The sequence below is a fragment of the Homo sapiens genome, chromosome 6, assembly GCF_000001405.40.
Source record: "Homo sapiens chromosome 6, GRCh38.p14 Primary Assembly".
NCBI classification, from domain to species: Eukaryota; Metazoa; Chordata; class Mammalia; order Primates; family Hominidae; genus Homo; species Homo sapiens.
The window spans coordinates 138,884,576-138,900,099 of NC_000006.12; the positions used below are offsets into that span (position 1 = coordinate 138,884,576).

The following is a 15,524-nucleotide window of genomic DNA, read 5'->3' on the forward strand; positions in this document are numbered from 1 at the left end:
TGCAGTGAGCCGAGATTATGCCACTCTACTCCAGCCTGGATGACAGAGCAAGACTCTGTCTCAAAAAAACAAAAAACAAAAAAAATATATTAAGTACAGTAGAATACCTGTATAATAAATATTACTATGGAAAACGTAATTAACAGAAGTATTAAAGGTGAATACCATTAATAGTCAAGATCTTACTATACTGAAATAACATTTACTGTGTGACAGCCACTTTATGGATAGGATTGTTTTTTTTCCACACCACAACATTAGAGATGATATCCATGTTACAGATGAGAAAACTGAGGCTCAGAAAAGTTAAGTAATTTGACAAGGTTATATATTCGATTTATTCTAATTCAAATCCAGGCCCACCTGGTTGCAAAGTACATTCTTATTTGTCTATACTGATTAAGTTCAATGAATAGGGTCAGGTCTATGTATAATTAACACACATTCTTTTTTTTTTTTTTTTTTTTTTTTGAGATGGAGTCTCGCTCTGTTGCCCAGGCTGGAGTGCAGTGGCGCTATCTTGGATCACTGCAAGCTCCGCCTCACAGGTTCATGCCATTCTTCTGCCTCAGCCTCCTGAGTAGTTAGGACTACAGGCGCCCGCCACCACGCCTGGCCAATTTTTTGTATTTTTAGTAGAGACAGGGTTTCACCATGTTAGCCAGGATGGTTTCCATCTCCTGACCTCGTGATCCGCCTGCCTCCGCCTCCCAAAGTGCTGGAATTACAGGCATGAGCCATAGCGCCCGGCCAACACACATTCTTAACATATTAGGAAGACACCAATGGCACTACTAACAGTCTACTAATTGGTTAGACATAGATGTTGCCCTTTTGCTTCAGGCATTCCATAGATCATGCTTGCTCAGTGGAACAGTGGACTTTACAACTATCTCATAAAGTTTTGACAATATAATCCTCACCTTTTAGTGCAGAGAAATGATACCAGCATTCCGAACTTTCCTGAAGAGGCATGATAAGACCATTGTTACCAAAATGCTGAGGTACGTTCTGAGGGAGAGCACAGCAGGGGTCCCCCCAGAGAGGGCATTCCTGGGCCTTCAGAGACCAGAGCTCCCTTCTCTATGCCTCATACAGCCTGCCAGAGCTGCTGCTGTACCCATCCCGAAGATTTGAAGAATACCTTAATCTTCTCTACGCTGTCAGGCTTCATACCCCTGCAGAGCATGTTGACCGTGGGGACTTGACCACTGCAATTGACCAAATCAAAAAATATAAAGGTTATATAGATCAGGTTGGTTGCTGATAAGAATCTGTGTCCTTTAAACATGTTACAATGCCTTTGTGGTACTCCCACTCAAAGATCCTGAGACACCTTATCTTCTTGTGGGGTTCTTCGCTTTAAAGTCTTTCATCCTTTTAATGCTAAATCAATAGTGTGTTCCGTGATTTCCAACACTAAGGGCATCTATTCTAAGCCAAGCAACATGAGACAATGTTTTCAGATATTTGTACAAATATAATGAAATTTTTATGAAAGTTTGAAGAATGAAGTATTTGGACTGATTTTTTACACAACTAAAAGGCAAAAAAAAAAAGTAAAATCCTTTGTTTCTGAAAGTACTTTCAATGCATTAATTAGCTTTCCTGCCTCAGTGAGTACAATGGTCATAATTATTCTCTGAAGAAGTAATTAAGCACCTTGGAGTACAGTACTATCATTCTGAAAATATTATTATTATATTGTGCATACTGTAAACAGGCATCTGGGCTGAATGTAAACTGCTAACACATTTTTCCATGCAGATACTTTTTTGCATTCAGTTTTGTCACTTGCCTTTGTTTTAAAACATTGGGTACAGAAAATTGAAATTTTTTTTTTCTTTTTTGAGACAGGGTCTGGCTCTGTCACCAAGGCTTGAGTGTAGTGGTGTGATCTCGGCTCACTGCAACCTCTGCCTCCCTGATTCAAGCAATCCTCCCACCTCAGCCTCTTGAGTAGCTGGGACCACAGGCAGGCGCCACCATGCTTGGCTCTTTTTTTGGCTTTTTTAAAATGTGTGTAGAGATGAGGTTTCACCACTTTGCCCAGGCTGGTCTTGAACTCCTGAGCTCAAGCCATCAGCCCACCTCAGCCTCCCAAATTGCTGGGATTACAGACGAAAGTCACTACACCCGGCCCAGAAATTTGAAACTTTCTATTATAACATATGAAAATACCAAGCCCTGTATCAAGCGCCATAAAATATTTTAATCTATTTCTTTTATGAATAAAAATGTCACAATTTTAGTTTGCCTAAAAGTACTTTTTTTCCCCTAGATGAAGCAAAACATCACTATGAAGGATCATCTGTCAGATATACAGAGAATCATCTGGGGATGCCCTGTATGTATTCTTAGGAACTTGCTGTATCTCATGCTCATGAATACAACCTCCAGTCTTTTGCAAAAGGAGACCTACAGATCCCAAGGCAGCTAGTATTTGTGGAATGCCTGCTACGTGCCAGGCACTGCCATGCTCTCCCATTTCACATCCTTGTTACCTGCAAGGTTGCTCTATAAGAAGGGGCACAAGTGAGCTTGCCCCTATCCCATAACTTTTTGGCAGTCTTTGCTCCTTTATTGGTATTACTGTGATCACAATGCCCTGTGAGGAAAGGGGCCATGTGTTCTACTTGTTTTCTTTTCTTTAATTTTTTTTTTTTTTTGAGACCGAGTCTCACACTGTCGCCCAGGCTGGAGTGCAGTGGCACAATCTCAGCTCACTGCAAGCTCCACCTCCCGGGTTCACACCATTCTCCTTCCCCAGCCTCCCGAGTAGCTGGGACTACAGGTGTCCACCACCACGCCCAGCTAATTTTTTGTATTTTTAGTAGAGATGGGGTTTCACCGTGTTAGCCAGGATAGTCTCGATCTCCTGACCTTGTGATCTGCCCGCCTCGGCCTCCCAGTGCTGGGATTACAGGCGTGAGCCACCACGCCCAGCCATGTTCTACTTGTTTTCTATCTCCCTGCATATGATACCTGGTGCAGGATTCTGCACCCTGATGGTATCTGAACAAGCTTTAGAAGGCCTGTGTTAGCGACGTGTTAACCTATAGAATTTCATCTGGCCCCACCCTCCCTTATCTCTTACAGTTTTCCTGACTTCCTTATAATCATACCACACAGATCCACTCACGATTCTCTAATGTTAACCTCTTTTCACACATTTGTGCTTTGTGCATACTCTTTCTTCTCTGAAATTGCTTTTCTTTCCTATTTCACTGGATAAACCCCTATTCATTCTATAAAAATCTAGTTCAATCATCATATCCTTTGCAAAGTTTCCCCCAGCATTTCCAGCTGTCAGCGGCTTCTTTGTAGGGATTTTGCATCCTGAACATTCCTGTTACATTTTACTGCAATCCTTTATTCATGAAACTGGGAGCTCCATCATGTGTGAGCTATGATTTACTTGCCTTCTCATGTCTGGCACATAAGAGGAGCTCAGGATGTGAGTTACGTTGAATTAAAGTATCAATTGATTAGAAATGTTATTTTTATTTAGTCAAATTGGGGAAGCAAGATGAAGTTGTTTTGTCATAATTTTGGTCTGGACATTTTGTAGGGAAAGATAATTGAGGTTGATTGGTTTGCAAAGATCCAAATTCTTGAAACTCAGAGTCTACAAAACTCTCTCTGGATCACTGTTCACACCAAGAGCTCATCCCCATGACTAGATCAATATAAAGGCTTGACTTCTTATTCTGTACCAATTCATTCACTTCTTTTTCTTTTCTTTTTTTTTTTTTTTTTGAGATGGAGTCTCACTCTGTTGCCCAGGCTGGAGTGCAGTGGCACGATCTCGGCTCACTGCAACCTCTGCCTCCAGGGTTCAAGCAATTCTCCTGCCTCCCAAGTAGCTAGGACTACCGGCATGCACCACCACACCTGGCTAATTTTTTTTGTATTTTTAATAGAGACAGGGTTTCACCATGTTGGCCAGGCTGGTCTCCAACTCCTGACCTCAGGTGATCCACCCACCTCGGCCTTCCAAAGTGCTGGGATTACAGGCATGAGCCACCGCGCCCAGCCTACTTCTTTTTCTTAATAGCTACCTTCTTATCCCCCAACCCCCAACTTTGTTTTTGATATTAGGAAAGCACTTACAAATAAAACTATCATGTCAGCAGTTTTAAAACTTTGACAAAGATTACTTTTTTCCCCTTAAATATAGTTTTCTTTGTCAATACTGTGGTCTTTCTAAGAAAACCTGTTTCATAAACAGTGAAAATATTCACTTTTTCATACTTGAACTGTGTTTTAGTTAACATTTGCATATTCTGAGATATAAAATGGTTTGCAGTAGTAATTTTATTTAAAAAAATTTATATGTACTTCTAATTTTGTTTTTGATTTTACAGACTCTATCAGAAGTAAACAGATATCTGATTAGGGTACAAGATGTAGCCCAACTTCATTGCTGTGATGAAGAAATAAGTTTCTCTTTAAGGTAAACAATAGTTAACTATCCTAAGGCTGTGGACACCTTCCAAGCAGGTGACTGTCTTACTCATCCTGTAGCTCCAGCATTCAGTACAATGTCTGACACAGTAGGTTTGAAATGAATCTATGCATTGGACTGAAAAGTTACAGAGGACTCCCTCTGAGATAGTGTAGGGTATTTTATCACCATGTTCACATTCCAGCCAGCTACTGGATAGAATGGGAGAAATAAATTGTCCCTGCCAGGACCACAAACTCCACATAAGCAGGCATTCTAAAGGTTGGTCACTTTTCTTTTTTCTTTTTCTTTTTTTTTTTGAGATGGAGTCTCACTCACTGCCGCCCAGGCTGGAGTGCAGTGGCGCAATCTCGGCTCACAGCAACCTCCGCCTCCAAGCTATTCTCCTGCGTCAGCCTTCCAAGTAGCTGAGATTACAGGCACCCGTCACCATGCCCAGCTAATTTTTGTATTTTTAGTAGTGATGGGGTTTCACCATGTTGGCCAGGTTGGTCTCAAACTCTTGATCTCCAGTGGTCCACCTGCCTTGGCCTCCCAAAGTGCTGGGATTACAGGCATGAGCCACTGCACCCGGCCACTTTTCTACTTAGCTAAGCTCCAAGTGTTGTGGGATTTTCACACCAATGATCTGCTCAAATGTAAGAAAGAGAGGACCAATTTATTATCCTCAGATAGTTATTGAGGTCAGTTTTTAAAAAGACCTTACAGTATTTAGTTTGCACAATGCTCAGAGTAGTGTAAGAAAAAAAAGATGGAAGGATGCTAATTTTTATAAATTAGTATCCCCTTTACTCCTTTAGAACAAGGATGGGCAAACTTTTCTGTAAAGGTTCACATAGTAAATATTTCAGATTTTGCTGGCCAAATGATATCTGTGGCAACTACCCAACTTTGCTATTGTAAAACAAAAGCAGCTCTATCAATGACACAACACATAACAAGTAATACACTATTCATAAACAGTACAAGATATAAATGAACAAACATGACTATGTTCCAATTAAACTTCATTTACAAGAACAGGTGTGGGCCATAGTGTGGTGATATCTGCTTTAGAAAACTGTTCATCAAACTATGAATAAAATAGAAATAAAATAAATAACAAAATAATTAATAGAATCAAATAAAATTCTATTCTCAAACATTCTTCCTTTCTTTACATAAGTTTGATTTTCAGTATTAATGACAAAGAGTGATTCAGCAAACAGCAACCAAAGGGAGGGGAATTAACTCCTTTAATTTGTTCAACTCCAATAAATGTAATAAAAATTGATTTGTTATTTCAATGAATATTTCAACAAATGTTCCTCAAAGGCACAGGGTAGCAGGGTAGGTGGAAGAAATCAGTCCCCTCACCTCCATCCTTACCTAGACTAGATCTTAAATGAAAATCAAATCACACAATATGTCACTTTTCTCATTGTCATGACATTTTTGTTTTCTTTGATCTTTTTTTTTTTTTTTTTTTTTTTTTTTTGGTCAGTAGCAATAGAAAACAGCTACAATGATGGAAAGAAACTAGCTACCAAACCAGCAATTCTAAACACACTGGTTTGGTAGAAGACATTCTATGATGATTCCAGTTTTTGATTATTAGATTATTCTACATTCATGTATTCCTTCTCAAACACTCTTCCTTTCTTTACATAAGTTTGATTTTCTATATCATTTTTCTTCTCTCTGCAGAACTTCTTTTAACATTTCTTAATGTTCTACTAGGGTCAATGAATTCTCTCAAATTTTTTGTGTGTAAAAAATTTATTGTTTGAAGGCAATTTTGCTGGATACAGAATTCTAGGTTGGTGGTTTTTTCTTTTAACACTTTCCTTATTTCATTCCACACTCTTCTTACTTACATGGTTTCTGAAGAGAAGTCCAGTGTAATTTTTATCCTTTTTCCTCTATAGGTAATAGAAGCCAACAATAAAATTCTAGGCCTCCCAATCGACTGAATGGACTCCTCCTCTCGGCCAAGGGGATTCCAAAGTAAACCTGAAAAATGAGTTCAGGCCATGATAGGAAGGGGGGATTGGATATGCCTCATTATACTCTCCTCCCTTAAGAATTCAGGCACAACTGACCAAAATTAACATTGAAACAGAGATCTTAAGACTGATAAAATGAACTCCTTGTAGAAGTAAGATACCAAATTCTAACCCAACTCTAGTATAGTATCACATGGCAGATAGCAGACCCTGCAATAAATCATAGTTTACCTCAAAATATATTTATTTGACATGTTTTGAAATGGCCCTGCAAAGTCATCTCTTTTGGGGAAAATCTCCGTTTTGTAGAGAATCTCCTCTTTCCAGGTCTTTTCCTGATCCAGGAGAGATTCAGCTGAGAGTATGTTATCTTTTAAGGTCTGATAAGAGACATTTACCATCTATTCTCCCTGAAGCCTGCTACCTGGAGGCTTCATCTACATAAGAACACTGGTCTCCACAATCTCTTATCTAAAGCCAGATACTCCTTTCTACTGATTCCAGATCTTTAGATAAACTTAACTCTTTCAACCAATTGCCAATCAAAAAATCTTTTGAATCCCCCCCATGACCTGGAAGCCCCTAATTCAAGCTGTCCCATCTTTCTGGATCAAATGAATGTATACCTTACATATATTGATTGATGTTTGCCTGTAACTTCTATCCCCGTAAAATGTATAAAATCAAGCTGTAACCCAACCATCTTGGGCACATTTTCTCAGGACTTCTTGAGACTGTGACTCAGGCCCTGGTCACCCATATTTGGCTCAGAATAAATCTATTTTACACAGTTTGACTCTTTGTTGACAGTAAGGTGGGTTTATGTTTTTGTATTCTCTGAAATGACGAAGACTTTCTCTTTTATTTTCTACATCTGAATGTATTATGCCTAGATGTAGACTTTTTTTAAAATCCTGTTTTGTGTTCTCTGAGCTTCCTGGACCTATGGTTTGCTGTCAGTAATTTTGTAAAATCTCCAGTCATTATTACTCCAGATATTTCTTCTGTCTCTCTTCATCTGGTATTCCCATTATGCATATGATTTGCCTTTTGTAACTGTCCCTATTACTTGGATATTCTGTTCTTTCCCCTGGTGGTCCCTACCCGATACCCCTACTTTGTCCCTGGTCTTTTTTCTGCTTTTCAGCTTGGTAAGCTTCTGTTGACATATCTTCAAGCTCACTGATTCTTTCCTCAGCTGTGTCCAGTGTATTAATGACCCCACCAAAGGCATTCATTTCTGTTATATTTATTTCTGGTATTATCTTTTCTTTCTTAGAGTTTTGGTCTCTCTTCTTACATTACCTGTCTGTTCTTGCACGTTGTCTACTTTTTCCATTAAAGCCCTTAACATATTAATCATATTTAAGTTTCTGCTCTGATAATTCCAAAATCTCTACTATATCTGAGCCTAGTTTTGATGCTTGCCCTGTCTCTTCAGTCTGTGTATTTTGCCTCTTAGTACCCCTTATAATTTTTTTGAAACAGAGTGTGTCACTCTGTCACCCAGGCTGGAGTGCAGTGGTGCAATCTAGGCTCACTGCAGCCTCTGCCTCCTGGGTTCCAGCAATTCTCCTGCCTCAGGCTTCTAGGTAGCTGGGATTACAGGCACGTGCCACCACGTCTGGCTAATTTTTGTATTTTTAGTAGAGATGGGATTCACCACATTGGCTAGGCTGGTCTCGAACTCCTGACCTTAGGTGATCTGCCCACCTTGGCTTCTCAAAGTGCTAGGATTAAAGGAGTGAGCCACCATGCCCAGCCAGCACCGCTTATAACTTTTTGTTGAATAGCAGACACGATGTGTCAGGTAAAAGGAACTAAACAGGTCTTCAGTGTGAAGTTTTATGTTTACCTGGCTGGGAGTTAGGTCATATTAACTGTTTGTTGCAGCTTGGCATCAGAGGCTACAGTTTTCTCCAGTGTCCTTTTCTCTCCCTATCATCTTTGGGTTTCCTTAGAGACCCCTTCTTAAATAGGGTCTGAGCCTTACAGTTATTTTAGCTGTAATCCCATTATTATACCAGAGCCCTACTGCTGTGGTAGTTAAGATGTCAGAGGAGAAACATTCTATAGTTCTATGATCAATTTTGAGTCTGTTACTTCTGGACTGTGACCTTCACAAGTGCTTCTCAGTTTTTTTTTGTTTTTTTTTTGTTTTTTTTTGTTTTTTTTTCCCCACCTCTAACATGAGACGTAAGGTTAGAGGTGGCTGGAGTTGGGTATTTCCCTTCTCCCAGGTTGATTAGGCACTGGTAAAGTCCCAGTTGGTTAGGTTCTAGTACAAGTTTCCCTTGAGGTCAGGCCTTTGTTAAGAACAAAATATTCTGGGCATATTTCAAAATGGTACTTTTCTCCTCTCCACCATGTAAGAATATATATATATTTTTTTATTTTTATTTTTTTTTGTGAGACAAGGTCTCACTCTTTCACCCAGACTGGAATGCAGTGGCCTGAGCTCGGCTCACCACAACCTCTGCCTCTCAGGCTCAAGGGATTCTCCCGCCTCAGCCTCCTGAGTAGCTGGGATTACAGGTGCACGCTGTTACTGCTCGGCTAATTTTTGTATTTTTAGTAGAGACGGGGTTTTACCATGTTGGCCAGGCTGGTCTCGAACTCCTGACCTCAAATGATCCATCTGCCTTGGCCTCCCGAAGTGCTGTGATTACAGGCGTGAGCCACCGCACCCAGCCAGAATAAGGAAATTTTTATTAGCTCTTCATTGCAAGAATCTGGCAGGCTCCTAGAGGCAAAACTCACACCATTGTGTGAGCCCAGAGTTATTAAATGCTAAAGCTAGTCCACACTTTATCTCTAGTAATTAAGCCAATACCCTTCAAGCATCCCTACTCCATGCAGGCAATTTCTGTTTCTGATAAGCTTTGATTCTCTGTAGCAGCCTATCATTCCAGCTTTTGGGGTGATAACTTCAATTCTATAAAGGATCGGAAAAAAGCTGTTGATTCTGAGTTCTTCAGCTTTTTGTTGTTGTTGTGAGGACAGAATTACCAACTTCCAAGCTCTTTCTTTTTAATTATTATTTTTTTGAGACGGAGTCTCACTCTGTTGCCAGGCTGGAGTGCAGTGGCGCAATCTCAGCTCACTGCAACCTCCACCTCCCAGGTTCAAGCGATTCTCCTGCCTCAGCCTCCCAAGTAGCTGGGATTACAGGCACACGCCACCACACCCAGCTAAGTTTTGTATTTTTAGTAGAGATGGGGTTTCACCATGTTGGCCAGGATGGTCTCAATCTCTTGACCTTGTGACCCACCCGCCTCAGCCTCCCAAAGTGCTGGGATTACAGGAGTGAGCCACCACACCCGGCCTACAACTTCCAAGCTCTTTACATGTGGACTGGAAGCTGGAGGTCTAATTATCAGAAATTAGACTTTGGTCTACAGTACTTGGACAAATGAAAATACTTTGAAGATTTAGGATAATCCAAAATCATTTTATGCTCTAATTGTGAGGTACATTTATATTTAAATAGGCACTACTCTGAGCTATGAGGTATGAGGTATGAAAAATTTACCAGGCCCAGAGACATGAGTATGGGACTTCAGTCACACCTCCCCATCCATGCTTGCCTAGGGCAATTGTTCCTGGGCTGCCTCACCCATTATCTTCACATACTGGAAATTGTAGACAAAGAACAATTATGGTCAATCAATAGCTTGTGCTATTTTAGTATAAAATCTTGGTAACTCTGGAACTGCCTCTTCTTTTTCTTTAAAAATCCACTTGTAAATGCTACTAATTGGGGTGTATATTCCTGGTAACTGAATCTATGCTCCAGGGTTGCAGTCCCCAAGCTTAGCCCAAATAAACTCTACTTATATTGATTTTGCCTCAGCTTCTTCCTTTTAGGTCAACGACACTGTCTCAGTGATTACATTTATATTATTTGCTAATAAATTTAAATGTAATTTCAAATTAATATTTGAAATTGACTGGGTGTGGTGGCTCATTCCCGTAATCCCAGCACTTTGGGAAGCTGAGGTGGGAGGATCACTTGAGGCCAGGAGTTCTAGACCAGCCTAGGCAACATAGTTGGACCCCGTCTCTACAGGGGAAAAAAAAACGTTTTGAAATTAGGTAAATGCAAAAAGATATCACACAATACTTAGCCTGCAACCTTGTTTTCTGTCATTTTAGAAAATCACATAAAACCCAAGGAATGCCATCCCCATGATTTCTACCAGGAATTTTTACTTAGAGGAAACATACTCTGCTTGTATTTATACATACAGTACCAACTCATATAAGGCTTTACTCTTTACCATATATGTTAGCTTCTCTCATTTGATAGATTTAATTACAATTACCTGATGAGGCAGGTAGGACAGGAACCACGTTATGGGTGGGCAATCTGGCTTAAGTTGCCTAAAGTCATAGAATAAGTGCTGGTCTGGAATTTAGAACCAGGTCTCCCAGTGCACAGGCAGTGCCGTTTCCAGTGATTGGACCAGAAGGTAGAAAGGTGAACCAAGCCTTCCTCATAATAATCTCACTAACATAGTAACAATTACTAAACATATATATATATATTTTTCTTTTTCTGAGACAGAGTCTCGTTCTGTTGCCCAGGCTGGAGTGCAGTGGTGTGATCTCGGCTCACTGCAACCTCTGCCTCCGGGGTTCAAGCGATTCTCATGCCTCAGCCTCCCAAAAAAGCTTGAAGTACAGGGGCGTGCCACCACTCCCAGCTAATTTTTTTGTATTTTTAGTAGAGATGGGTTTCACCATGTTGGCCAGGCTCATCTTGAACTCCTGGCCTCAAGTGATCCACCCATCCTGGCCATGTGTGAGCCACTGCACCTGGCCACAAATAACAAACAATAACTATGACACAAAAAGAACGAGTAAGTGTTTGCATCCTAAATGAAATTTAAAATAGAGATGAAGTCACACAGTTATTTTAAGAGCTGGGAAATTCAGAGGGCAATTTGTTCCTCTGAGGACATGGACCATTATTTTGGGTATGTTAAGCTTTTAGAATATATTTTGTACCTTGGAACTTCTGTATTATCGTTTTTTTCATAAACACTGATTTTCATTGCTGAATTTTTTTTTTTTTTTCCTTAATGAGATGGGGTCCTCCCATGCTGGCCAGGCTGGTCTTGAATTCCTTGGCTCAGATGATCCTCCCAACTCGGCCTCCCAAAGTACTGGGATTACAGGCGTGAGCCACTGCACGTGGCCAAAGCTTACTGATTTTTAAGCATGCTTTTTTTCTTCCAATGGAGTCTTGCCAAAGGTCTATTCACCAGTGCAGGACTGGTGAATAGAGGCCTGGCCTTGTTCATCAAATAGAGCCATCCACTTCCCAGGCCAATTTTCCTTGGGGAAATATCCTATTATACTGCCAAAAAGATACACTGTAAACTTTCCTCTTAGCTTTCCCCAAAGGGATCTACAGTCACTTAGCAGGGTAACTATGCAACAGAGAAAATGTACCCAGGCTTCTCAAGGATACTAGACTTTGGTCCAGAATTGACTCATTTTGGGGACCCCAAACGCCACTGTGATCCACCAGGCTAGGTGATAATCAGTTTTGACTCAGGTCAGCTCACAGTGGTGCTGATGACCTGCTGTTGTCCATGTACTGAAACTCTCCATGTACTGAAACTCTCTTTTTGAGAGAGTTTCATTCTTGTTGCCCAGGCTGGAGTGCAATGGCGTGATCTCGGCTCACTGCAACCTCCGCCTCCTGGGTTCAAGCGATTCTCCTGCCTCAGCCTCCCAAGTAGCTGGGACTATAGGTGTGCACCACCACACCTGGCTCATTTTTGTATTTTTAGTAGAGACGGGGTTTCGCCATGTTGGCCAGGCTAGTCTCAAACTCCTGACTCTGTGATCTGCCCACCTCGGCCTCCCAAAGTGCTGGGATTACAGGTGTGAGCCACCGCACCTGGCCTAAAACTTTCTTTTAAAGTTTTATGTATTTATACAAGTTGGGTACTTCCTGCCTTTCTCTGTGTCTCTTGTGCTGGCTAATACAGTAGTTTAACAACAATAACAAAACACTTCTAGAATGGAGTTAAGAATGTACATTATAGTAGCTGTGTTCCATTTTGCTGAATCACTGAATCTATCTGTAAATAAGCAAAGAAACTCTATTCAAGTTCAGAACAAAACCCACCATTGGAGTTGGTTCTGAGTGTGAGCAGAGGCAGATTTCTGAAACACTAGGAGCCACTGCAGCTGCTCCATTATGTCAATACTAAAGATGAAATTACAGCCATATCTGCAGGCCCCACACCCATGGGTTCAACTGAGGATGGAAAACATTAAAAAATAAATAAATACAATTAAAAAAACAAATAAAAACCTCATACAGTATAAGTATTCACATAGTGTTTACATTGTATTAGATATCATAAGTAACCTAGAGAGAATATGCAGATTATATGCAAATACCAAGCATCCTCAGATTTTGGTTTTCGCAGGAGGTCCTGGAACACATTCCCCATGGATATCAAGGGATGACTGTATCTGCTTTTGCGTATTTAGTTTAACCGTATTTACGGTTAAACTTTTAGAGTTTTTGGTGTTTGGTCTGTGGATAAACATTGTTGGAGATCTTGAGGGGCTTAATTTAGTAAATGGCTTTTGAAAAGTTTTTCTAGATAAAAATTATATATAAAATAGCCCTCTCAGAATCAGACTGAAATAATAACCTCATTGTGTGTTTCTTTCCCTCACTCATGTCCTTGGATTACGAAAGGCTCAATTCTAAGCTCAAGTTAGTGTGGCTGCTCCATCCCTTCCCTGGGCCAACCATCCACCTGGTCCAAGTGGGTCACAAAACTGGAATTCTCTTTCATTCACCTCTAATATCGGCATTGTCCCTTCCAAAGGAAAAAACTGAACATCAATTTACCAAAGCAAGTACCTCTTTGAATGCTGCTTCTTCAAAGCACTCTGTTGGCATATTTCCTGATAATTCGGATACAGCAGTTTTATTACAGATTTAAACAGTTTCTAAACTTCTATGATAGGAGAAATAATTGTTCTTATCATGGATATGGTAAAAAAAAAAAATTGCTCCCCTTCTCCCCCAAAAAAGCAAGACCATGGTAGAATTCTTTTGCCTATTCAAAATGGCTACTCACCACAGACTGCCCATCACAGACTTAAAATGCACCTCCTGCCTTTCTTGCTTCCTCTCTCCCTCATCCTTAGTTCTATTCATTCCTTTATTCTCAGAATAACCTATTGACTCGATCTAGAAATATTTTTTGCAAGGTATCAGTAAATGTGAAGCACCCCACTCCTTCCAGCCTAAATCATAACCAAAGACAAGAAGAAAATGTTTGAAAGAAAGAGCTAGCTCTAGTGGCTGGGTGACCACTATGTTTCCATTGACCCACACACCTAAAACAACTCCTACTTCCTAACGCTGTCCAAGTAGCTGAACCTGAAACATGGTACTCTTGGACATTTTTAAACTACCTGGTCCAGTCCTTTGCCCAGTTCTTAGGCATAGCTGTAACTAATAAATGACTGAAGTGCCTTGCTCCTTGAAGTGTGGCCTGCAGATCTGTGGACTCAGCATCACCAGAGAGCTTGCCAGAAATGCAGAATTCTCAGGCCACCCTAGCTCTACTCAATCAGAATTTGCATTTTAACAAAATCACCAGGTAAATCAGAAGCAAATTAAAGCCATTACCATATAAAGTGAGTTATAAATATGAATTATAGCAGCTTTTATGAAGAACAACCTGGAGGTCTTTGATAAAAATATACACAGCAGTCCCCCCTTATCCATGAGAATACCTTTCAAGACCCCCAGTAGATGGCTGAAACCTCAGAGTACTGATCCCTATAACATCACGTTTTTTGATATACATACATACTTATGATAAAGTTTAGTTTAAAAATTAGGTACCATAAGAGATTAACAATATTTAATAAAATAGAACAATTATAATGACATAAAGTGGTAACAGTTATGTAAAGGTTTATCTGAAGAAAGGGAAACCATAAATAAGGGGGGACTATTGTGTAGCCTTTGACCAATCCGTCCTACTCTCAGGAATTGTATCTGACAGAAGAACAAATATTAGGACTTTGTTTCTATGTAAGAAATCGTTTGTTGCAACATTCACAGTGGCAATACAGAAAAAAAAAAATGAAGTAAGAGAGAGAGGGAGGGAAAAAAAGGAGGGGACCCAAGCCTCTAAACAAAGCAAATGTCCATCAAAGGAGAACACCCATCAATAGCAGAAGAGTTGAATAAATGATGGTGCACCCACACCATGAAGTACTAGTCATTAAAAAGAAGGAATAAAAGTCCTATCCATTAACTTGAAGTGATTTCCATTGCTGATTGAGAAAAGCAAGAAAAGAGTAGGGAAAATCTTAGCATTTTTGTAAGATAATGGCAATAACCTTTCCTGTACATAGATTGTGTGTGTGTGTGTGTGTGTACCTGAGCAAGTATAAAACAGTGGAAGGATACGTACTAGGTTGATAACTTGGGTGACCTGAGTGAAGACAGGGGTGAGGCTGTGCTATGTGGAAAAGTAGAGGGGAAAGAGGTACACTAAATAAAAGCCAATAGCAGGGATTGATGTCACTTAAGCGTTTTGTAACACTTTATGTTCCGACAATTTAAAAATTAAACAAAAATGGTGAAGAAAAATAAGAGACCTGAACAAGCATAAATATATGGACTCTTCATTGGAGTAACTTCCTGAGGGTTGCTTGATGCTTCTGGAAGGAAAACAATTATGCTCTATTAAAACATTTAGTTTGCTTCACTTAGCCACCCCTGGTGGGGAGGGGGAATTGGGGAGTGGGAGGGTGGGGTGGGGTTCCCCAAGCTCCTCCCAGGCTATCACCACTCACTGCTCGGCTAGAACACTCCCACAGGACAAATAACCCACACTAGAGCACAGTGAGGCCTGCCCAACACAGCAATCTCGCTCCAATGACAGAAAAGCAAAGAGGATAACAGATGGGAGGTTGAGGACACCAAATTTTGCCCCTTGATAAATATGCCTACAGTTGACCATGGTAGCAACCTCAGCAAAAACAAAGAACTATTTAATTTTTACCTTTCAAAC

The 15,524-nt window shown here is 40.3% G+C and overlaps 1 protein-coding gene and 1 long non-coding RNA gene across 8 annotated transcripts in view; one reads left to right on the forward strand and one right to left on the reverse strand.

Moving 5' to 3' along the window:
• The window catches only part of ECT2L (epithelial cell transforming 2 like), a 107,984-nt gene that overhangs the window by 88,489 nt on the left and 3,971 nt on the right, over nucleotides 1-15,524 (forward strand). For all 7 annotated transcript variants that reach the window (XM_017010828.2, XM_006715472.4, NM_001077706.3 and 4 more), the window contains 4 exons: nucleotides 931-1,004; nucleotides 1,099-1,255; nucleotides 2,282-2,347; nucleotides 4,368-4,456. In XM_017010828.2, coding sequence (XP_016866317.1) covers nucleotides 931-1,004; nucleotides 1,099-1,255; nucleotides 2,282-2,347; nucleotides 4,368-4,456 — 386 coding nt within the window. The remainder of the gene's footprint in view (nucleotides 1-930; nucleotides 1,005-1,098; nucleotides 1,256-2,281; nucleotides 2,348-4,367; nucleotides 4,457-15,524) is intronic.
• Nucleotides 4,300-11,055, reverse strand: LOC107986650 (uncharacterized). Its single transcript, XR_001744381.2, has 2 exons — nucleotides 10,779-11,055; nucleotides 4,300-6,460 (listed from the first exon to the last, which is right to left on the reverse strand). It is a non-coding gene; the product is annotated as an uncharacterized LOC107986650 (long non-coding RNA).